The sequence below is a fragment of the Homo sapiens genome, chromosome 5 (assembly GCF_000001405.40).
Source record: "Homo sapiens chromosome 5, GRCh38.p14 Primary Assembly".
Classification (NCBI taxonomy): domain Eukaryota; kingdom Metazoa; phylum Chordata; class Mammalia; order Primates; family Hominidae; genus Homo; species Homo sapiens.
Window position 1 is genome coordinate 43,313,474 of NC_000005.10, and position 23,376 is coordinate 43,336,849.

Below are 23,376 nucleotides of genomic sequence, written 5' to 3' on the forward strand. Positions count from 1 at the left end.
GAGTCGCTGGGAGGCGGGACGGTGGCTCCCACAGCCAATCGCGGCCGGTAGAGTTGCCCGGCAGCGCCCGCCCCCCAGTCCGGCTTCTACCAATCAAAAGGAAACTAGAGGCGATGACTCGCTAGGATTTTCCCTCGTGGCTGGAAGGGCGGGGAGAAGAGGCGGGGACAAAGTCTCAGGGCCGAGGAAGTGGTGTGAGAGACTGACGTGAGGTGGCACGAGAGCCCAGTTGCCAATGACGGAGCTGCGAGATACGGCGAGAGCCAACGGGAGCGGAGTGAGAGGTTCTCCGACCAATTGGGACTAAGTGAGAGGAGATGCGGGCCAATGGGTACTCCGCGTCCCACCGCTGGAGAGATGGTCAAATGTGGGAGGCGAGGTGGTCCCAGCTTGGGAGTCTGTCAGGTTGCCTAGCAACCAGAACTAGGCTTCACCTGAAAGATTTCTGAAATACTGTACTTGATTTGAATTCAGTCTTAACGTTTTCTAGCAAAGTGTGCGTAGATTGCAAATTGGAGCAGAATACTTCACCCAGAACTTGTATATGTGTAAATAGTCTAAATACCCGATTTGTAAATACTCAAATATTGTCTCCTTTATTCAAAACTACCTTGACTTAAAGAAAACAGAACAAACAAAAGTGCTCTTGAGACAAAGCTTTCTAACTAAACCTAAAACAAAATGGTTTCAGGATTAGGCATCCGTGGGGAGGGTGCAGAGCCTTGCCTGTGAAGGGAAGTTGATACTGAATTCAAGGATTTTTGCCAGGCCATGCACTCTGAGGAAAGGGACTCCATTTGGCCTGTTGCCCACTGTATCTTCTAAGCTTCATATGTGGTACCTGCCAAGTAAAAGGCTGTGGAAAGGCCACGTAATTGTCGGCATAGTAAATCCATCGGATACGGACTGCCTAACTCCCCCAGCAAATAGAGAGGAGCAATTCAAGCTAGAGGAATTCACTGAAACACTATTTGGGGGAATCCAAAGGAGGACACTTGTGGCTTTGCAATAAACTCTGCCTCTATCTGGTCAGAGAGAGAAGCCATAATACTTAGCTTTGGTGGGGGACCATGAGTGAGGTTCGGAGTTGTTTGTATCTCTCCCCATCTCAATTTAATTAACAGGAATGCTATTGATAAGGGGTCATTGGTAATTCTGTGATTCACACAATTATTGTTATGGGAGATTCTTTTAACCACTATAGATGCTAACCTAGTAAGACACATTCTCAGCAGCAAAGTGGCAAAATATATTGGAAATGGAACCACTGTGAAGTGGTGGCATAAATGACTTGGGGGAAGAGGACCACTCAGTAATGATTTCCATTCCACAGTATTGCCCATGACTCACTTCATATGTATGTAAAGTAACTAGATAGTAAACAGAGAGAGAGACATTGCCTGATTATGATCAACAGCAATTTGGGGTGGGGTAGGAGATTAAAATTCTTGGCATATTGGAATATGCTGAAAGGCAGTAAGGACAAACACAAGAAAGAAGATACAGTTTTGTCGTTAGGAATCGCAAATAATTCCAACTCCAGGAGTACATAATGGGAAATGATTAGCCAGACGGTCATGAGAATGACCATCTTACACAACCGGAAATTTCTACAAGGAACAGACCGTCTTTTTGATCACGTTAATCTTCAATTAAGCAAAGTGAGCATGATTATTGATTACTGGGAAGCCAAGCAATGGAGAACAAAAAGGGTTAGTAATTAGATACAGAAGATCTTGTTATAAATAAAGTTTCCATGCTGCAAAAGAAATAGCAGTCGAATATAAAATTTTCTTTTTAATTCTCAGCAAGGCAAGGTACTTCTATAGAAGGGTGCACCCTTACAGATGGAGCAATGGTGAGTGCACACTTGGACGAGGGAGGGAAAGGGGTTCTTATTCCTGACGCACGTGGTCCCCACTGCTGTGTCGTTCCCTTATTGGCTAGGGTTAGACTGCACAGGCTAAACTAATTCCGATGGACTAATTTAAAGACAGTGATGGCGGGAAAAATGGTTATGAAATGAGTCAGGGTGAAGAATGAATTGGAATGAGTCAAGGTGGAGTACGTAATCAGAATGAGTCAAGGTGGAGAATGAGTCAGGTTGGAGTAGGTAATCAGAAAAGGTTGCTTTACTAGGAAGCTACGTTTAAAAGTAGAAGGCAAAGAATGGAACATACTGACATATTAATTCTTTGAAGAGAAATTTAGAATTCATATTTAACAACTTCCTCCTCTTGCATTTTTCTTACAGCTTTCTCTTCAAACTTATTTAACATGTCTTGATTTAGTTGTTCTGCTTGATTTTCCAAAAGAAGAAGCTTTTCTGGATGAGGTGGAGGATAGTTAAGGGAGGTTTTAGTAAGTACCGTTTCTATGAGCCTCTGCACCAACCCACAGATGCATGGTATGACACAGCACCTGACAAGAATAAGTACACCTATTATGACTATGAGGGAGGTAAGAATTGGGGCTATTATTCCTTTCCATTTACCGAACCACTTTTCTAGCCATCCTGTAAAGGGATCATTTACCCGTGAGTTGCTGGCTAACTCATTGGATAGAGCAGTCAGACCTCACAATGCCTTTGTTATACTTCCATTAGGGGTGGCGTTGTTTGGGATGAAGGTGCAACATTGAGTTTTAATCATAACGCAAACTCATCTTCTTTCTGCTAATATCATGTCTAAGGCTATCCTATTTTCCCAAGCCATCTGGCTAATAGCCCCTAATTGCTCAGCTATTCCTTTAACAGCATCTCTAGTGTAGTTAATACATCACTGTTGGTTGTAATAGATGTCGTTTAACCAATCTGCATTTTTATTAATTGTCACCCACCAAAATATTGACTCAAATCCTGCAGCTATTTGATTTCGGGCTTTAAATTGATCTCGTATTCCCTGTGGGACTCCAACTGCATCTAAATAGACGTGAGAGTCGAAAGACCCATAAGGGGCTTCTCTCGCTTTATGATGTCTTATTTTTCCTTCCTCTGGTTGATAAAATGCCAAGGTGAAAGGGATAGCCAACTGGACTAAAGCACAAGTGTCACTCCAGTTATTCAGCAGAGTGTCTAGTAAAGGTCCACCACAATACCACCACACATCCACTCAGGGATGAACAAGGGCTGACTGGTAAGCTCTTAAAAATTCTTAAGCTTACTTCATCCCTCCAGGTCTCCAAGGAATGCTAAGTTTCCTTCCTGTTGTGAGACACACGAAGTGAACTTGGTGTTGGGAGATGGAAGCTGAATGGCCCTTGGGGGCGACCCACAGGGTGTCAGACTTCGGGATATAGTAGAGAGAGAGCTTGGCACGACTTGTTACCCCAGGCTGTAGAATCCTGGAAAACAGCTACCATGCAGCCCATGCCGAGTCGACTGGAGGACCACCTTAGTGGAAAGGGGACAATCTGGGCCTCTGGCCTGCTATGTGCACAAGCATAACAATTGCTTTTGTTTAATGTGTGGATGGAATATTTGATACATTCCACCCAGGCATTTATATCTTGGTATCCTGTCTCAGTTGCCAAAGTTTGTTTTAAGTCTTTAACTTCTACCATCGCTATCTTGGCCTTGTCGGTAGATGGAGGAGGAACAATGGTTCCGTTGTGAGAGGTTTTGGAAAAAGGCTTAAAGGCAGGTGCAGGTGGCAGGGGATCAAAGAAATGCATTTCAAGGATCCAATAGGGTCTGTCCCTGACATCTAGCCCACATGCCATAAAATCGGCTTAAAGAAGGGAACTGGCTTAGAAAAGGGGAAGAACTTTGGGGGCTCAAGATAATAACCTATATAGGATTGCACTGGTTTAGCTGACAGTTATTGGGGGCTGTCCGTTTAGTAAAATGAATGTGTGGTTTTAGGAAATTACAAAAACTGGTCAGGGCAGTCCATCCTTGCTCTTTGGTGGTCCACAGAACGTTGGACCAACTACAGCATAAAAGCTCTGTGTCGGTGGGGGCAAGACTCCTGGTTGCCACTGGGGTCTTTATCAAAATCTCCCCGAATTAAATGGTCCCAATTCACTAATGCCCAGTATGAGGAGAGCCAGGAGGGACAGAGGTACTTTTCTGAAGTAGAGAGCTGCCTTTGACTTTACAAATCCCCACACAGTATAACAAGGCAAGCATCAAATGCAATAGTTTGAGGCGAAATTGACTTGGTTATGTTAATAACTAGATGATCAGCGATAGAACGAGGAAAGAAGAAAGTTAATAGAATAGATGAAAGAGAGTTAAATTCTTCTTAGCTTTAGTTTGGTAGGGTTTTCCCCTGGGACTATGGCCACTACTCTGGAGGGGGTGGCACTTTCTTGACCCGGGTGTGGTAAGTCCATCCTCTCTCTGCTGTGCGGACTGCAGTTTCAGTAGTTAGGAGCACTAAGTAAGGACCTTCCCAGACTGGCTCAAGCATCTCCTCTTTCCAGCTCTTGATGAGGACGTGATCCCCAGGCTGATGTTGATGCACCGGGAACTCCAAGGGCGGCACCTGTGCTAATAGACCTTTAGTTTTAAGAGAAGAGAAAGTAGAAGCTAGACCAAGCATATAATTTTTAAGGAATTGATCTTTTGTTTCAAAGGTAGGAATATCAGCAGTAGAGTGCAAATAAGGTAATCCATAGAACATCTCATAAGGAGAAAGACCAATGTCTTTCCGTGGTGCAGTTCAAATTCTCAGCAGGGCAATAGGAAGACACTTGGTCCATGGCAATCGAGTCTCTAAGACTAATTTGGTTAAGTGGTTCTTTAGAGTCTGATTCATTCTTTCTACTCTCCCTAATGAGGATGGGTGTCAGGGAGTATGGTATTCCCATCTAATATCTAATGTTTGGGATAGCTTTTTAATAATGTGTGTGGTGAAATGAGTTCCATTGTCTGAGTCAATATTTTCTATTAGTCCAAACCTGGGTACTATATTTTCAATTAGGGCCTTAACTGCATTATTGGCTGTTGCATTTGAAAAGGGAATAACTTCGACCTGGTGAGTGAGGTGGTCTACTATCACTAGTAAATATTTCAGACGACCTGTTGGAGGCATTTCTTTGTAATCAACTTGGATACTTTCGAATGGCTTTAAGCCTGGATTCCTTCCCCCGAGTGGTAATATTTTTGTAGTATGTCTATTAGTTTTCTTACATACTAAGCAACTATCTGTAACCTGTTTGGCCAGGGTATAAATTCCTATACAACCATAAACTCTGAGAATGGCATCACATGTGGCCTGGGGCCCCCAGTGGGTCCCCTGATGTAGTTGGGATAAGACTTCCCTCATAAGGGGTTTAGATAACGTTTCTCTCTGGTCTGGCAGTATCCACTTTCCTTCTGAATTCTCTTTAGCACCTATTTTTATTACTTTCTCTTTTTTGGTGGAAGAGAAAATGGGGATTATGGTAGGAGGAGGGAGGTAGGGAGTTAAGTGAAAAATACACATTCAAAAGACACAGCAGCCTGCTTGTCTACCTGATCTGCTAGGTTATTTCCTCGACTTTCAAAAGAAAGAATTTTCTGGTGTCTGGGAACATGGACAATAGCTATTTCTTCTGGCAACCGAAAATTATTCAATACTTGGGTGATCAGCTCCTTGTGAACAAGGTCTTGACCTTTACTATTGATGAGACCTAGTTCAGTCCAAATTTTCCAAAACATATGGGTCACTCCAAAGGCATACCTGGAATCTGTATAGATGGTTCCTTCCTGGTTCTGTAAGTACTTTAAGGCTTGGCTGAGTGCAAGCAGCTCACACGTTTGAGCAGACGAACTGTTGGGCAATTTTCCTGATTCTATTTCTATGAGAGTTTCTCCATCAATCACTGAATACCTACTGTGTCTTTTTCCCTCAATCACCCCGGAAGAACCATCTATGAATAAGTGCCATCCAGTCCAGAAGGGGGTTTCTTCTAGGTCTGGTTGAACCTTTGTATGGTAATCAATTAAATCTAAACATGTGTGTTCCCCCCTTAGATGTGGATTCCTTGTTAAGAAACCTGCTGGGTTGAGTGAATTATCAGTAGTCAATGTTAAATCATCCTTTTCTAACAGAATGGCCTCATGCTTTAAGATTCTTTATTCAGTAGGCCATCTCCCTGCTCTCTGGTAGTTCTAACTCGGTGAGGCGTGCTTACTGTCAATTTTCCTCCAAAGGTTAACTTTCTGCTTTCCCCGACTAGTATTGCCATAGCCACGATGGACTGGATGCATTGAGGCCATCCACGAGTGACTGGGTCTAAGACCTTTGATAGGAAGGCTACGGGCTGCCGGTGGCATCTGTGTTCTTGAGTCAGCACTCCTAAAGCTACCCCACTGTACACATTAACAAAAAGGTGGAATGGCTTTTCTAGGGAGGGTAAGGCTAAAACAGGCAGTTATGAGCCTTTCTTTCCTTCAGCTTCTCGACTTGATCAACTTCCTCAGAAGTCCACAGGAGACGGTTAGGCTTCTCCTGGGCAAGTTTTTGATATAACAGTTTACTGTGCAGTGCTTAATAAGTGGCAGTATCTGACTAACCCTAAAATTTTCCTGAGTTCTTGTTTGTTTGAGGCAAGGGTAGGGACACAATTCCCTCGATTCGTTTAGGCCCTATTCTTGGCTTGCCTGCACTTATTAAGTGGCCTAAATATTTAACTTTCGGCTGTACATGCTGAAGCTTTCTTTTTGGTACTTGTAGCCCCTCAAACTGCAGATGGTTAAGCATATGTGTAGAGAAGTCAGTTACTTTCTCGCTATCTTCACCAGATATAAGAATGATGTCCACTTACTGGAGAAGGCATATTTGTTCTGGGATGACAACTTTTTCTAGTACTTGTTCTAAAATTTGGCCAAAAAGATTAGGGGAGTCTGTGAACCCTTGGAGCAAGACTGTCCATCGATATTGTTGTTTCTGCCCTGAGTGGGGATCCTCTCACTCAAAAGCAAATATATCTCAGCTATCTTCAGTCAGGGACCATACCCAAAAAAGCATCTTTCAAATCTATTACAGTAAACCATTGATGATATATGGAATCTTGCTAAGAATGGTATAAGGACTGGGGACAACAGGGTGGGTAGTCTGGACTATTTGGTTGATAGCTCCAAGGTCCTGTGCTAGCTGATATGACCCGTCTCATTTCTTTACTGGCAGTATTGGGGGGTTATAAGGGGACATACAGGGCTCAAGAAGCCCATCCTTAATAAGGCCTTCGATTATAGGTTTCAACCCTATCCCACCTTCTAGGGGAATAGGGTACTGCTTCCTTCTTACTACTTCTCCCAGGGTTTTTAGCTTGATGTGGATCAGAGGGACTTGGAGTTTCCCTTGGTTTCCTTCTTTGGACGAGACATTAGGATTAATATATTTTTCATCTGCAGTGGTGAGTGTCAAGTGCGTCCGTGTGAAGAGAGTCCACCAACAGGCTTTGTGTGAGCAACAAGGCTGTCTTTGTCACTTGGGGGCAAGTGGGCTGAGTCCGAAAAGAGAGTCAGCAAAGGGAGATAGGCATGGGGCAGTTTTATAGGACTGGGTTAAACAGTGGAAAGTTACAGTTAAAGGTGGTTATCTATTGTCAGCAGAAGAGGGGGTCACAAGGTGCATGGTGGGGAGATCATAAGACTCATTGTCCCGAAGAAGAATGTCACGAGATTGATTGATCTGTTGGGGCAGGGCAGGAACAAGTCATAATGGAATATTGTAAGGTTGGTCAATCAGTTAAGACAGGAGCTGGCTGTTTCACTTCTTCTGTAGTTTTGGGTTGCCCTAGACTTCTTGGCTCCTGCAGGCCACCTGGACGTATATGTGCAGATCACAGGGGTTACAATGGCTGAGCTTCGGCTCAGAGACCTGACATTCCTGTCTTTTTATTTATAAAATATAAAGTTATAAGAAAAGATAAAGAAAATATAAGTTTTATTGGGGATTATTGGGGTTGGAGTGATGTTTCTTGGGACTGCTTTAACGTGACCAGGGACTGCACGGACACCTTAAAGAAAATTTTTCAGCAAACTATCGCAAGGACAAAAAACCAAACACCGCATGTTCTCACTCATAGGTGGGAATTGAACAATGAGAACACACGGACACAGGAAGGGGAATATCACACACCGGGGCCTGTTGTGGGGTGGGGGGAGGGGGGAGGGATAGCATTAGGAGATATATCTAATGTTAAATGACGAGTTAATGGGTGCAGCACATCAACATGGCACATGTATACATATGTAACTAACCTGCACGTTGTGCACATGTACCCTAAAACTTAAAGTATAATAATAATAAAATTTAAAAAGGAAAAAAAAAGAAAATTTTACAATGAGTTACAAGGAATAGAAATTTAGGCTGTGCGGAGATCTTGGGGCAGAGGATGGTACCATGGGGTTGTTAAAAGTGGCATTTGTCATATAGAATTATTGGTGATGGTCTGGATGTGGTTTTGTATGAATTGAGAAACCAAATGGAAGATGCAAGGACCGAATAAGAGAAGGAGAAAAACAGGTACCAGGGGACTAAGAATAGGCAGGAGCCAAGACACCCAGTTAGAAAGTCTGCAGGTGGGTCCAGCATAATTATTTTCCTGGCTGGCGAGTTATCTTTAAGTTTTTCATGTTGTCATATGCCAGGCCGGATTGGTTTAGATAAAAACAACATTCTTCATTTAAAAATATACAGTCCTCCATTTTCAGCAGTGAGTAGGTCAAGGCCTCAGCGATTTTGGAGGACAACTGCGGCTAAGGAGTCAACCTGGGCCTGAAGGACTGATAAAGTTTGTGATATTGTAATGCTAGTAGAAAAGTAGAAAAGTAATTAGAAAGGCTACGGAAGGTTGTGACAGAAGTTGAAATGCCTGCTATTCCGGCTCCAAGGGCAATAGTAGAAGCAGAAAGTCCTAACCGTACAAGTAGAGGGGTTAGAGGAATAACTCTTCTCTGTCTGGTTGGTGTCATGAGGGGGACAGGAAGTTGTTCGGTCCCATTTGCAAATTGAATGTTGGGAATAAGAAAAACTAGTGTACATTTACCTGTCCAATTAGCAGGTAGACACATGTAGATGGAGGAGACACAGAAGAAGAAGAGGACTTCTGCAAGGCAAAATTGGAAATGCAAAGTGAAAAGATGAGAAGGAGTAGTAAAAGAGGTGTCTTGTACCCAGACTCCTAAGGCTCCAGCTAGGGCGGCAGCCGTCAGAGGTTGTAATGGGGACTGATGGGGTAACTGTGTAGACGGGGAGATTCGATTCTCATGATGTATGAGAAAGTCGAGTGTCTACGAGCAAACTTTCACTGTTATTTACGGGGCTGGATATAAGTAAATAAGAAGAGGGCCTGGGAGGATAGTCTGAAGAACAAGGGAAAGGTAGCCAAGGATGGAGTGAAATGCACAGTAAATGTCTTTTTTTTTTTTTCATTAATCTAGGTTAGATCTGTATTTATTTTTCTTTTCTTTAAAATATATATACATATATTTTAATTATTATACTTTAAGTTCTAGGGTACATGTGCACAACGTGCAGGTTTGTTACATATGTATACATGTGCCATGTTTGTTTGCTGCACCCATTAACTCGTCATTTACATTAGGTATTTCTCCTAATGCTATCCCTCCCCCATCCCCCCACCCCAAGTCAGGCCCCGGTATGTGATGTTCCCCACCCTGTGTCCAAGTGTTCTCATTGTTCACTTCCCACATATGAGTGAGAATATGCGGTACTTGGTTTTCTGTCCTTGCGATAGTTTGCTGAGAATGATGGTTTCCAGCTTCATCCATGTCCCTACAAAGGACATGAACTCATCATGTTTTATGGCTGCATAGTATTCCATGGTGTATATGTGACACATTTTCTTAATCCAGTCTATCATTGATGGACATTTGGGTTGGTTCCAAGTCTTTGCTATTGTGAATAGTGCCGCAATAAACATACATGTGCATGTGTCTTTATAGTAGCATGACTTATAACCCTTTGGGTATATACCCAGTAATGGGATGGCTGGGTCAAACGGTATTTCTAGTTCTAGATCCTTGAGGAATTGCCACACTATCTACCACAATTGTTGAACCAATTTACACTCCCACCAACAGTGTAAAAGCGTCCCTATTTCTCCACATCCTCTCCAGCATCTGTTGTTTCCTGACTTTTTAATGATCGTCATTCTAACTGGTGTGAGATGGTATCTCATTGTGGTTTTGATATGTGTTTCTCTGATGGCCAGTGACGATGAGCATTTTTTCTTGTGTCTGTTGGCTGCATAAATGTCTTCTTTTGAGAAGTGTCTGTTCATATCTTTTGCCCACTTTTTGATGGGGGTTTTTTTTTCTTGTAAATTTGTTTAAGTTCTTTGTAGGTTCTGGATATTAGCCCTTTGTCAGATGGGTAGATTGCAAAAATTTTCTCCCATTCTGTAGGTTGCCTGTTCACTCTGATGGTAGTTTCTTTTGCCATGCAGAAGCTCTTTAGTTTAATTAGATCCCATTTGTCAATTTTGGCTTTTGTTGCCATTGCTTTTGGTGTTTTAGTCATGAAGTCCTTGCCCATGCTTATGTCCTGAATGGTATTGCCTAGATTTTCTTCTAGGGTTTTTATGGTTTTAGGTGTGACATTTAAGTCTTTAATCCATCTTGAATTAATTTTCATATAAGGTGTAAGGAAGGTATCCAGTTTCAGCTTTCTACATATGGCTAGCCAGTTTTTCCAGCACCATTTATTAAATAGGGAATCCTTATCCCATTTCTTGTTTTTGTCAGGTTTGTCAAAGATCAGATGGTTGTAGATGTGTAGTGTTATTTCTGAGGCCTCTGTTCTGTTCCATTGGTCTATCTCTCTGTTTCGATACCTGTACCGTGCTGCTTTGGTTACTGTAGCTGTGTAGTATAGTTTGAAGTCAGGTAGCATAATGCCTCCAGCTTTGTTCTTTTTGTTTACACTTGTCTTGGCAATGCGGGCTCTTTTTTGGTTCCATATGAACTTTAAAGTAGTTTTTTCCAATTTTGTGAAGAAAGTCATTGATAGCCTGATGGGGATGGCCTTGAATCTATAAATTACCTTGGGCAGTATGGCCATTTTCACGATATTGATTCTTCCTATCCATGAGCATGGAATGATCTTCCATTTGTTTCTGTCCTCTTTTATTTCATTGAGCAGTGGTTTGTAGTTCTCCTTGAAGAAGTCCTTCACATCCCTTGTAAGTTGGATTCCTAGGTATTTTATTCACATTGTAGCAATTGTGAATGGGAGTTCACTCATGATTTGGCTCTCTGTCTGTTATTGGTGTATGGAAATGCTTGTGATTTTTGTACATTGATTTTGTATCCTGAGACTTTGCTGAAGTTGCTTATCAAGTTAAGGAGATTTTCGGCTGAGACGATGGGGTTTTCTAAATATATAATCATGTCATCTGCAAACAGAGACAATTTTACTTACTCATTTCCTAATTGAATACCCTTTATTTCTTTCTCTTGCCTGACTGCCCTGGCCAGAACTTCCAACACTATGTTGAATATGAGTGGTGAGAGAGGGCATCTCTGTCTTGTGGCAGTTTTCAAAGGGAATGCTTCCAGTTTTTGCCCATTCAGTATGATATTGGCTATGGGTCTGTCATAAATAGCTCTTAGTATTTTGAGATACGTTCCATCACTACCTAGTTTATTGAGAGTTTTTAGCATGAAGGGCTGTTGAATTTTGTCGAAAGCCTTGTCTGCATCTATTGAGATAATCATATGGATTTTGCCTTTGGTTCTGTTTATGTCACGGATTACGTTTATTGATTTGTGTATGTTGAACCAGCCTTGTATCCCAAGGATGAAGCCAACTTGATGGTGGTGGATAAGCTTTTTGATGTGCTGCTGGATTCAGTTTGCCAGTATTTTATTGAGGATTTTTGCATTGATGTTCATCAGGGATGTTGGTCTAAAATTCTCTTTTTTTGTTGTGTCTCTGCCAGGCTTTGGTATCAGGATAATGCTGGCCTCATAAAATGAGTTAGGGAGGATTCCCTCTTTTTCTATTGATTGGAATAGTTTCAGAAGGAATGGTATCAGCTCCTCTTTGTACCTCTGGTAGAATTCCGCTGTGAATCCATCTGGTCCTGGACTTTTTTTTGGTTGGTAGGGTATTAATTATTGCCTCAATTTCAGAGTCTGTTATTGGTCTATTCAGGGACTCAGCTTCTTCCTGGTTTAGTCTAGGGAGGGTGTATGTGTGCAGAAATTTCTCCATTTCTTCTAGATTTTCTACTTTATTTGCATAGAGGTGTTTATAGTATTCTCTGATGGTAGTTTGTATTTCTGAGGGATCAGTGGTGATATCCCCTTTATCATTTTTTATTGCATCTATTTGATTCTTCTCTCTTTTCTTCTTTATTAGTCTTGCCAGCAGTCTATCAATTTTGCTGATCTTTTCAAAAAACCAACTCCTGGATTCATTGATTTTTTGAAGGGTTTTTTGTGTCTGTATTTCCTTCAGTTCTGCTCTGATCTTAGTTATTTCTTGCCTTCTGCTAGCTTTTGAATGTGTTTGCTGTTGCTTCTCTAGTTCTTTTAATTGTAATGTTAGGGTGTCAATTTTAGATCTTTCCTGCTTTCTCTTGTGGGCATTTAGTGCTATAAATTTCCCTCTACACACTGCTTTACATGTGTCCCAGAGATTCTGGTATGTTGTGTCTATGGTCTCATTGGTTTCAAAGAACATCTTTATTTCTGCCTTCATTTCGTTATGTACCCAGTAGTCATTCAGGAGCAGGTTGTTCAGTTTCCATGTAGTTGAACAGTTTTGAGTGAGTGTCTTAATCCTGAGTTCTAGTTTGATTGCACTGTGGTCTGAGAGACAGTTTGTTTTGATTTCTGTTCTTTTACATTTGCTGAGGAGTGCTTTACTTCCAACTGTGTGGTCAATTTTGGAATAAGTGCAATGTGGTGCTGAGAAGAATGTCTATTCTGTTGACTTGGGGTGGAGAGTTCTGTAGATGTCTATTAGGTCAGCTTGGTGCAGAGCTGAGTTCAAGTCTTGGATATCCTTGTTAACCTTCTGTCTTGTTGATGTGTCTAATATTGACAGTGGGGTGTTAAAGTCTCCTATTATTATTGTGTGGGAGTCTAAGTCTCTTTGTAGGTCTCTAAGGACTTGCTTTATGAATCTGGGTGCTCCTGTATTGGGTGCACATATATTTAGGATAGTTAGCTCTTCTTGTTATGTAATGGCCTTCCTTGTCTCTTTTGATCTTTGTTGGTTTAAAGTCTGTTTTATCAGAGACTAGGATTGCAACCCCTGCTTTTTTTTGCTTTCCGTTTGCTTGGTAGATCTTCCTCTGTGCCTTTATTTTGAGCCTATGTGTGTCTCTGCACGTGAGATGGGTCTCCTGAATACAGCACACTGATGGGTCTTGACTCTTTATCCAATTTGCCAGTGTTGTTTCTTTTAATTGGGGCATTTAGCCCATTTACATTTAAGGTTAATATTATGTGTGAATTTGATCCTGTCATTATAATATTAGCTGGTTGTTTTGCCCGTTAGTCGATGCAGTTTCTTCCTAGCCTTGATGGTCTTTACAATTTGGCATGGTTTTGCAGTGGCTGTTTCCAGTTGTTCCTTTCCATGTTTAGTGCTTCCTTCAAGAGCTCTTGTAAGGCAGGCCTGGTGGTGACAAAATCTCAGCATTTGTTTGTCTGTAAAAGATTTTATTTCTCCTTCACTTATGAAGCTTAGTTTGGCTGGATATGAAATACTGGGTTGAAAATTCTTTTCTTTAAGAATGTTGAATATTGGCCCCCACTCTCTTCTGGCTTATAGAGTTTCTGCCAAGAGATCAGCTGTTAGTCTGACGGGCTTCCCTGTATGGGTAACCTGACCTTTCTCTCTGGCTGCCCTTAACATTTTTTCCTTCATTTCAACTTTGGTGAATCTGACAATTATGCATCTTGTGGTTGCTCTTCTTAAGGAGTATCTTTGTGGTGTTCTCTGCATTTCCTGAATTTGAATGTTGGCCTGCCTTGCTAGGTTGGGGAAGTTCTCCTGGATAATATCCTGCAGAGTGTTTTCCAACTTGGTTCCATTCTCTCTGTCACTTTCAGGTACACCAATCAGACATAGATTTGGTCTTTTCACATAGTCCCATATTTCTTGGAGGCTTTGTTTGTATCTTTTTATTCTTTTTTCTCTAAACTTCTCTTCTTGCTTCATTTCATTAATTTGATCTTCAATCACTGATACCCTTTCTTCCACTTGATCGAATCAGTTACTGAAGCTTGTGCATGTGTCACATAGTTCTCATGCCATGGTTTTCAGCTCCATCAGGTCATTTAAGGTCTTCTCTACACTGTTTCTTCTAGTTAGCCATTAGTCTAATCTTTTTTCAAGGTTTTTAGCTTCCTTGCGATGGGTTCAAACACCCTCCTTTAGCTCAGAGAAGTTTGTTATTACTGACCTTCTGAAGCCTACTTCTGTCAACTCATCAAAGTCATTCTCTGTGCAGCTTTGTTCCATTGCTGAAGATGAGCTGTGATCCTTTGGAGGAGAAGGGTCCTCTGGTTTTTACAATTATCAGTTTTTCTGCTCTCGTTTCTCCCCATCTTTGTGGTTTTATCTACCTTTGGTCTGTGATGATGGTTACCTACAGATGGGGTTTTGGTGTGGATGTCCTTTTTGTTGCTGTTGATGCTATTCCTTTCTGTTTGTTAGTTTTCCTTCTAACAGTCAGGTCCCTCACCTGCAGGTCTGTTGGAGTTTGCTGGAGGTCCACTCCAGACCCTGTTTGCCTGGGTATCACCAGCGGAGGCTGCAGAACAGCAAATATTGCTGCCTGATCCTTCCTCTGGAAGCTTCATCTCAGAGGGGCACCTGGCTATATGAGGTGTCAGTCAGCCCCTACTGGGAGGTGTCTCCCAGTTAGGCTACTCGGGGGTCAAGGACCCACTTGAGGAGGTAGTCTGTCCGTTCTCAGAGCTCAAACACCATGCTGGGAGAACCACTGCTCTCTTCAGAGCTGTCAGACAGGGATGTTTAAGTCTGTAGAAGTTTCTGCTGCCTTTTGTTCAGCTATGCCCTGCCCCCGGAGGTGGAGTCTACAGAGGCAGGCAGGCCTCCTTGAACTGCAGTGGGCTCCACCCAGTTTGAGCTTCCTGGCTGCTTTGTTTACCTACTCAAGACTCAGCAATTGCGGATAATCCTCCCCCAGCCAGGCTACCGCCTCGCAGTTCAATTTCGGACTGCTGCGCTAGCAGTGACCAAGGCTCTGTGAGCATGGGACCCGCTGTGCCAGGTGCGGAATATAATCTCCTGGTGTGCCCTTTTCTAAGACCTTTGGAAAAGCGCAGTATTTGGGTGGCAATGTCCCGATTTTCCAGGTACAGTCTGTCACGGCCTCCCTTCGCTAAGAAATGGAAATCCCCCAACCCCTCGTGCTTCCCGGGTGAGGAAATGCCCCGCCCTGCTTTGGCTCACCCTCCGTGGGCTGCACCCACTGTCCAACCAGTCCCAGTGAGATGAACAAGGTACCTCAGTTGGAAATGCAGAAATCATACCATCTTCTGTATCAATCACGATGGGAGCTGCAGACTGGAGCTGTTTCTATTCAGCCATCTTGGAAAGGACCTTAATGCAGGGTAATGTCTTAAAGGAAATGAGAAGTTTTAAGAGATGGGCTAGTGGCTGTAACTTACATGGAAGAGGTTATGAAAGGACGATAGAATGGAATGATTCTGTGAAGCTGGAAGGAGATATTTTCCTTGGTCTAAGAACCATTTGCCTTGAGTGGGGAGGGATTGATAGGTGGAAACTTCTGTGGAAGAGTAAGTAGATGTGACTGATGAGAAGGAGAAAAGCTGGCCATGAGGGACAGAAGTAGGAATACTGGTTGCTCCTTTAGCTGTCTTATCAGCATAATTGTTGCCTTGAGCAATGGGGTCTGAGGCCCTTTGATGGCTTTTGCATCAGTATAAATATTGATGCATAGTCCCTTTGCAGGAGTGAAGGCCCAAGTTAGGGCAATGAGTTTGGCTTGCTGAGAGGTAGTGGAGGGGGGCAGAGTGGTAGCCTCAATGATAGATGTGGAAGATACTACAGCATAGCCTGCCTTTGCTGGTGAGTGGCGATTAGGCCTGGTGGAACTGCCATCAATAAACCAAGTGTGATCGGGGTGAGGAACAGGAAATAAAGAAATATGGGGAAATGGAGTGAATGTCAGGTGGATCAGAGAGATACAGTCATGGGGGTCAGGTGTGGTATCAGGAATAATGTGGGGGCCAGCCTAAAACAGTAAGGTCAAGTTGTTTGGATAGAAAGGCTACAGGGCATGGTCCCAGCTCTTGTGTAAGAATTCCGACCGCACAGCCCTGCACTTCGACTGTGTGTAATGAAAAAGGGTTGGGATGAGTTAGGGAGAGCTAGTGTGGGAGCAGCTTCTAGGGCTGTTTTTAAGGAATGGAAAGAGGAGTGGGGAAAGGATTTAGGATCTATGTGGTCAGCTAGGTTTTATTTTGTGAAATTATGTAATGGTTTAGTCAGGATGGCAAAACCAGCTATCCAAAGGCGAAAGTACCTAACCATGCCTAGGGAAGAAAGGAGTTGTTGCTTTGTAGAAGGGGTTGCGGTTTGGGAGATTAGCTGGACATGATCAGCAGGGAGAGCACATGTGTTTTTATGAAGAATTATGCTGAGATATGTAATGGATGAGGAAGAAATTTGGGCTTTGGAGGGAGATATGCAATATCCTTTGGAGAATAAATGTTGAAGGAGCAGGAGGGTATGTTGTTGAGAAGACTCAAAGGAGATACTACAGAGTAGAAGGTCATCAATATATTGAATAAGGTGAGAAGCAGAGGGGTGGAAAGAAAGTAAATCATGAGAAAAAGCTTGGCTGAAGTAATGAGGGCTGTCCTGGAAGCCTTGTGGCAGTACAGCCGAGGTAAGCTTCTGGGACTGATGGGTATCAGGGTCAATCCAGGTGAAAGCAAAGAGAGGCTGAGATCAGGGGTGCAGGGGAATAGTGAAAAAGCATATTAAGATCAAGAATGGAATAGTGAGTTGTGGATGGAGGTATTGAGGACAGAATAGTGTACGGGTTGGGCACCACAGGGTGGATAGGCAAAACAATTTGGTTGATAAGGTGCAGATCCTGAACAAACCTATAAGACTTGTCTGGGTTTTGGACAGTAAAATGGGGGAATTGTAAGGAGATTTTGTAGGCTTTAGAAGCCCATGCTGTAGTAGGCGAGTGATAACAGGCTTTAACCCCCTTAAAGCATGCTGTGGGATGGGATACTGGCATTGAGTCGGGTAAGGGTAATTAGGTTTTAACGGGATAGTAATGGGCATGTGATCAGTTGCCAGGGAGGGAGTAAAGGTGTCCCATACCTGTGGGTTAAGGTTGGGGGATACAAGAGGAAGATGTGAAGGAGGCTTTGGGTTGGGAAGAAGGGCAGCAATGAGATGTGGCTGTAGTCCAGGAATAATCAGGGTAGTGGATAATTTTGTTAAAACATTTCCACCTAATAAGGGAACTGGGCACGTGAGGATAACTAAAAAGGAGTGCATAAAAGAATGTTGTCCAAGTTGGCACCAAAGTTGGGGAGTTTTAAGAGGTTTAGAAGCCTGGCCGTCAATACCCAGAACAGTTGTGGAGGCAAGGGAAACAGGCTCTTGAAAAGAAGGTAATGTGGAGTGGGTAGCCTCCGTATTGATTAAGAAGGAGATGACGGACTTACCCTCCACTGTAAGAGTTACCCAAAGTGTCTGTGATGATCCAGAAGGCTTCTGAGGCGATCAGGCAGTAGTAATCTTCAGCCGCTAAGCCGAGAAGATCTGAGAAAGAGTCAGTCAGAGAGCCTTGAGCTAGAGTTCCAGGGACTCTGGGAGTGGCTGCTGGGTGAGTTGGACAGTCCAATTTCCAATGGGGTCCCACAAAGATGGGACTTGGCTTAGGAGGAATCCTGGGCTGCGGGCATTCCTTGGCCCAGTGGCCAGATTTTTGGCACTTGAAGCAAGATCCTTGAGGAGGAGATCCTTGAGGAATGCCTGACCACTGCAGTTTAGGTGTTTTGAAGTTCTTGTGTGCTGGAGATGTAGCTGGGATTTCTCTCACAGCAGAGGCACATAATTGCAACTCAGAAATATGTTACCGTTTGGCTGCCTTTTTTTTTTATTATTGTATACATTGAAGGTGAGGTTAATGAAGTCCTGTTGTGGAGTTTGAGGGCCAGAATCCAATTTTTGGAGCTTTTTCTAATGTCAGGAGCAGATTGAATAATAAAATGCATATTGAGAATAAGACAGCCTTCTGGCCTCTCTGGGTCTAGGACAGTAAAGCATCTAAGGGGTTGTTGCCAAATGGGCCATGAACTGGGCTGGGTTTTTATATTTTATGAAATAGAGCCTAAATTCTAACTGATTTGGGAGAGGTCAGATGAAGAAAAAGGAGCATTAACTTTGACTATGCCTTCAGCTCCAGCCACCTCTCTAAGAGGAAATTGTTGGGCAGGTGGGGGATGGCTAGTCATGGAACGAAACTGTAAGCCAGACCGGGTGTGAGGAGGGGAGGTGATAGAAGGATTATAGGGTGGGGGAGCGGAGGTTGAGGAAGAATTGGGACCTGGCTTGGCCTGGCAAGGAGCAGCCCGGGAAGGAGGGGAGAGGTCGGATGGGTCCGTAGAAAAGGAGGATTTAAAGGACTCAGAGCTTGGGGTGGAGACTGAAGGAACAGACAGGAGAGAAAGAAGAAAGATTTGGGATGAGTTGCATTGGGAGCAGAGACTAGGGAGGGACCAAGGTGTAAAAGAAATGTCTGGACATCAGGCACCTCAGATCATTTACCCATTTTTTGACAAAATTATCTAGATCTTGTAGGATGAAGAAATCAAAAGTGCTGTTTTCTGGCCATTTAGAGCCATTATCAAGTTTGTATTGGGGCCAAACGGTGTTGCAGAAGAAAAGAAGATGCTTAGGTTTTAGATCAGGTGAGAGTTGAAGAGGTTTCAAGTTTTTAAGAACACAGGCTAAGGGGGAAGAAGGAGGAATGGAGGGCAGAAGGTTGCCTATAGTAAAAAGTTAAGTTTAGGGAAAAGGGGAGTAGAGACATGGAGAGAGGGGGATGGTACTTGTCACCCAGAGGAGGTAGTCCTTGCCACCAAAGTGGAGGATCAAGGCAGGCATCCCTGTGGTGATCGAACACCTCTGGAATGATGGTGAATAATCAGGCAGGCATCCCCACAGTGATTAGACACCAAGGGAAGACTGTCTTCCTGAGTCCATGACTAGAACCAGAGTTTTGGGTTCACAGATAAAATGTGTCTCCTCTATCTCTACCAGAAAAGGAAAGGAACTGAAATTAAGGGAAGGGAGAGATTGAAGGGTGGTGCTAAAAATGAAAGGAGAAAGAGGTTGAGGGATAGTGAGAGAGGTTGGAGAAGAGAGTAAAAAGAGGCCGCTTACCTGACTTAAAGTTGGTGAGGTGTTTCTTGGGCCAGTCTGAAGACCTGAGGTCATAGGTGGATGTTCTCACGGAGCAAAGAGCAGGAAGACAGGGGATTGATCTCCCAAGGGAGGTACCCCAATCTGAGTCATGGCACTAAATGTCAAGCATGTCTGTGTGAAGAGAGTCCACCAACAGGCTTTGTGTGAGCAACAAGGCTGTATTTCACTTGGGGGCAAGTGGACTGAGTCCAGAAAGAGCATCAGCAAAGGGAGATGGGGTGGGGTAGTTTTATAGGACTGGGGTAAGCAGTGGAAAGTTACAGTTAAAGGTGGTTATCTATTGTCAGCAGAGGAGGGGGTCACAAGCTGCATGGTGGGGAGATCATGAGAATCATTTTCCAGAAGAAGAATGTCATGAGGTCGATCGATCAGTTGGGACAGGGCAGGAACAAGTCATAATGGAATGTCGTAAGGTTGGTCAATCAGTTAAGACAGGAGCTGGCTGTTTCACTTCTTTTGTAGTTTTGGGTTGCCCCAGACTTCTTGGCTCCTGCAGGCCACCTGGATGTATATGTGCAGGTTACCGGGATTACAATGGCTGAACTTTGGCTCAGAAGCCTGACAGTGAGTAAGTTTAATGAGGTGAGGAATCCTCTTGGGCTGACTTGTAGACCTATGCCCAACTTTAGCATTAAATCCTTCCCCAGTAAATTAATTCCTGCTTCAGGGATTAACAAGAACTGAATATAAGTTGAGTGATCCTGGTATCTAACTTCTGTGCTTTATAATATTTTTGCTCTACATCCTTCCCCTTTAACCCCAGAGACTAAAAGTTCCTCTGAGGAGGAGACAACATTAGATGGGAGGAAACAAATAGAGGAGCGAGCAGCCCCTGAATCAACTAAAAAGATGATAAGCTCATGTTTAGGTCCCACCTCCAAATTTATCAAGGGCTCCTGGTGGGACTCAAGATAAAAGAGACAGAGCCCCTGAGCCCCCTATTCTTCCTTGAAAGTCATGAGTGGAAGGGCTTCTTTCTCCTTTCTTAGTTCAGGACATCTCTTGAAGTGGCCTGTTCTTCCACATCTATAGCACCTATCTTGTGCTTCCTCCCCTTAATTCTGGGATTCTTTAACCTTGCTCCCCCATACTCTTTAGGGGGGCTGGTAGACAAGGACCTTTATCCTCCAGATGGAGGCTGGGATCCTTTAAAAGAGGTTCGGACCCTTTATAGTTTCTGGCTCCCTGGAAGCTCTGTCTAGAAGTACCTGGGTTTGGAGCCATCTGTTGGAAGGTGAAAACCTAAGTTTTGTCTTTTCTTTCTGTTTTTCTTCATCCTTTTTCATGTATACTTTCTGAGCTTCCCTGAGAAACTCATTTAGGGGGCAGTCTTCCCAATTGTCTATCTTTCGTAACTTTTTTGAAATGTCTGGCCAACTTTTAGTGACAAATTGGAGTTTTGACATTCCTTGCCCAAGGGGATCATCCAAACTGAGGCCTGCAGATTGCCTCATTTACTCCCTCAGTCTGTCTAGGCATCTCACAGGCACTTCATCCTTTTCCTGTTATATATCAAGTGCTTTAGAAAGATTTTGGGTTTGGGGTACTGATTCCCAAATTCCTTTTATTATCATCTCCCTTAGGTCCTGCATATTTTCCTGGTGATCTGCATTGTTATTGTCCCACCAGGGGTCTCGGGCAGGGAATTTCTCGTCCGTGGTAGGAACATTTTCACTGGGAGGGTCCTCACATTCCCAAACTACCATAGCAGCCCTAAGAATTATACTCCTTTCTTCCCCTGAAAAGAGGATGCCCAAGATGAACATTAACTCGACCCAGGTATATAACTGAGGTCCTAAGAATTGGTCAATTTGGTCTGCCACTCCATAAGGGTTATCTAGTAGTGGTTTAAGCTCCTTTTAAAAATTCCAGACTTCTGAACTGGTTAAGGGAGCATTTACAAAGCCAACGGCCCCCCCTCCTTGTGGTACCTCTTTCAAAGGGAAGAAGGTCGGGGCTGACCTCTTAGGTACAGAGGGAAATGGGAAATTCTGAATATCTTTTTTATATTGTTCTACCTCATGCTGGAGTCCTTTTAGAGAGGGGTATTTAGATTGGGAGGGAACAGGCTGGTGGGATGGTAATTACCAAGAGTCAGGGTTATAAGGAGGAGGGATAACATGAGTAGAGGGGGAATTTGGAACAGGATCTGAGGCAGCAGTGGCTGTCTGAGGGGAAAGATTGGGGACACTGAACAGGGGAAGGTAGTCTAGGGGATCCCATGTGCTGGAGTCTTTATGCATGAGAGCTGGCTCCTCTGACTTTTCATTTTGAGGTGCCAGATTGGGTTCTTCCTTATTTGTTTTTAAGGGAGAAAGGAGGGCAGGTCCTTGCCTCCAACAAAGGGCATAGCCTAGTTCTTCTTGAGATACTGGACTTTTATCATTAACATATCAGATTAGAAGCTGACACATTACATCCTCATTCGACCCAAACTTTGGCAAGAAGATTGAGGGTTTGAGGATGGGCCCCTGAGTCCAAATAAAACAGTAATATTTTATCATTTGTTGCTTTTTCCTATGTTTAGACCTTTCATTATCTTTCCAGTGTTTTCGCATGAGACCTAGGGGGCTATCCGGGGGAATATCTTTGTTACCATCTTTGTCCCCCTTGCTCCCTGTCTTGCTTGAGGGTATATCCCATCTTGATGGTTTTGGGGTAACGTTCAAGGTTCAATTTGCCTTACTGGAATTTTCTCACCTTTTGGGGTGAGGCTTAATTTCTCCAGCTGTAAATTTCTTGCCTTTTGGGGTGAAGCTCAATTTCCCCCACTGGAAATTTCTTGCCTTTTTGGGGTGAGGCTCAATTTCCCCCACTGTAAATCTCTTGCCTATTCTACTACTGGAGGTTTGTGTGAGGTTCAATCCCCCCCAGTAGGGATGTCTCACCTCTTTTTAACCTCTAAGCCACCCTGACCAAGGAGTACTTCACCATCCCTGCTGCGGTTTTCTTGGTCCCAACCACCAAGGAAATACTTTACCGGCTCCCACGACTTCTCCTTCCTTGGTCTGTGCACAGAGTCATTGCTGCAGTATGTGAGGATCCTTTAAACTAGGTTGCTGGCCAGTTCATTTTTTTTCACGTTGCTGAGAGCTTGGGTTATTCCTTGCACTGGGTAGGTTCTGATTTCTCACCCCTGAGGCTGCCACAAGGGGCAGGGTGCACACCTCCTCATGAAAGAGAACCAGAGACCATCCCCAGAGGGGAATGTAATCCCAGATGAGCCCCCAAATTGTTATAAATAAAGGTTCAGTGCCGCAAAAGAAATAATACTCAAATATAAAATTTTCTTTTTAATTCTCAGCAAGGCAAAGTACTTCTACAGAAAGGTGTGCCCTTACAGATGGAGCAATGGTGAGTGCATACTCAACAAGGGAGGGAAAGGGGTTCTTATTCCTGACGCATGTGGTCCCTACTCCTGTGTGGTTCCCCTATTGGCTAGGGTTAGACCACACAGGCTAAACTAATTCTGATTGACTAAGTTAAAGAGAGTGATGGGGTGAGTGGTTTGGGGGGAAAAATGATGATGAAATGAGACAGGATGGAGAATGAATCAGAATGAGTCAGGGTGGAGAATGAGTCAGGGTGGAGTAGGTAATCAGAATGAGTCAAGGTGGAGAATGAGTCAGGTTGCTGTAGGTAAGCAGAAAAGGTTGCTTTACGAGGAAGTTACGTTTAAAAGTAGAAGGCAAAGAATTGAACATACAGACATATTAATTCTTTGAAGAGAAATTTAGAATTCATATTTAACAATCTCAGTTGAATTAAAAAAAGCAGTCTCTGGATTCTATGAAATATTAATATATAATAGTAGATTATAACAGGCTACACAAATGTCAGCTATGGCCCATGCAATTTAGGGCAAAGTATACATATATTTACTATACAAGGGACTGCTAGTTTTTTGAGCCATGATTTCACACAAGCACAGTAAAGCCAATGTCATACCTGAATCTGC

The 23,376-nt window shown here is 43.3% G+C and overlaps 6 annotated features.

Annotated features, from left to right (window-relative positions):
* Window positions 99-328: an enhancer, noted in NCBI's record as "active region_22537". NCBI's record gives its function as "activates an Ori minimal core promoter by ATAC-STARR-seq in GM12878 lymphoblastoid cells {active_cell/tissue: GM12878}" and the evidence as "EXISTENCE:reporter gene assay evidence [ECO:0000049][PMID:35858748]".
* Window positions 335-851: an enhancer, noted in NCBI's record as "H3K27ac hESC enhancer chr5:43313910-43314426 (GRCh37/hg19 assembly coordinates)". NCBI's record gives its function as "activates a minimal SCP1, AML or CMV promoter by ChIP-STARR-seq in naive H9 embryonic stem cells {active_cell/tissue: H9 hESC(naive)}" and the evidence as "EXISTENCE:reporter gene assay evidence [ECO:0000049][PMID:30033119]".
* Window positions 852-1,366: an enhancer, noted in NCBI's record as "H3K27ac hESC enhancer chr5:43314427-43314941 (GRCh37/hg19 assembly coordinates)". NCBI's record gives its function as "activates a minimal SCP1, AML or CMV promoter by ChIP-STARR-seq in naive H9 embryonic stem cells {active_cell/tissue: H9 hESC(naive)}" and the evidence as "EXISTENCE:reporter gene assay evidence [ECO:0000049][PMID:30033119]".
* Window positions 1,461-2,660: an enhancer, noted in NCBI's record as "MED14-independent group 3 enhancer chr5:43315036-43316235 (GRCh37/hg19 assembly coordinates)". NCBI's record gives its function as "activates an origin of replication core promoter dependent on BRD2, BRD4, P300/CBP and CDK7 cofactors, and independent of MED14, by STARR-seq in HCT116 cells {active_cell/tissue: HCT116}" and the evidence as "EXISTENCE:reporter gene assay evidence [ECO:0000049][PMID:35650434]".
* Window positions 7,381-7,709: a transcriptional cis regulatory region, noted in NCBI's record as "candidate enhancer chr5.1234 targeted for multiplex CRISPR interference". NCBI's record gives its function as "positively regulates HMGCS1 gene expression with high confidence in K562 cells {active_cell/tissue: K562}" and the evidence as "EXISTENCE:mutant phenotype evidence [ECO:0000015][PMID:30612741]".
* Window positions 22,177-23,376: an enhancer, noted in NCBI's record as "P300/CBP strongly-dependent group 1 enhancer chr5:43335752-43336951 (GRCh37/hg19 assembly coordinates)". NCBI's record gives its function as "activates an origin of replication core promoter dependent on BRD2, BRD4, P300/CBP, MED14 and CDK7 cofactors, with strong dependence on P300/CBP, by STARR-seq in HCT116 cells {active_cell/tissue: HCT116}" and the evidence as "EXISTENCE:reporter gene assay evidence [ECO:0000049][PMID:35650434]".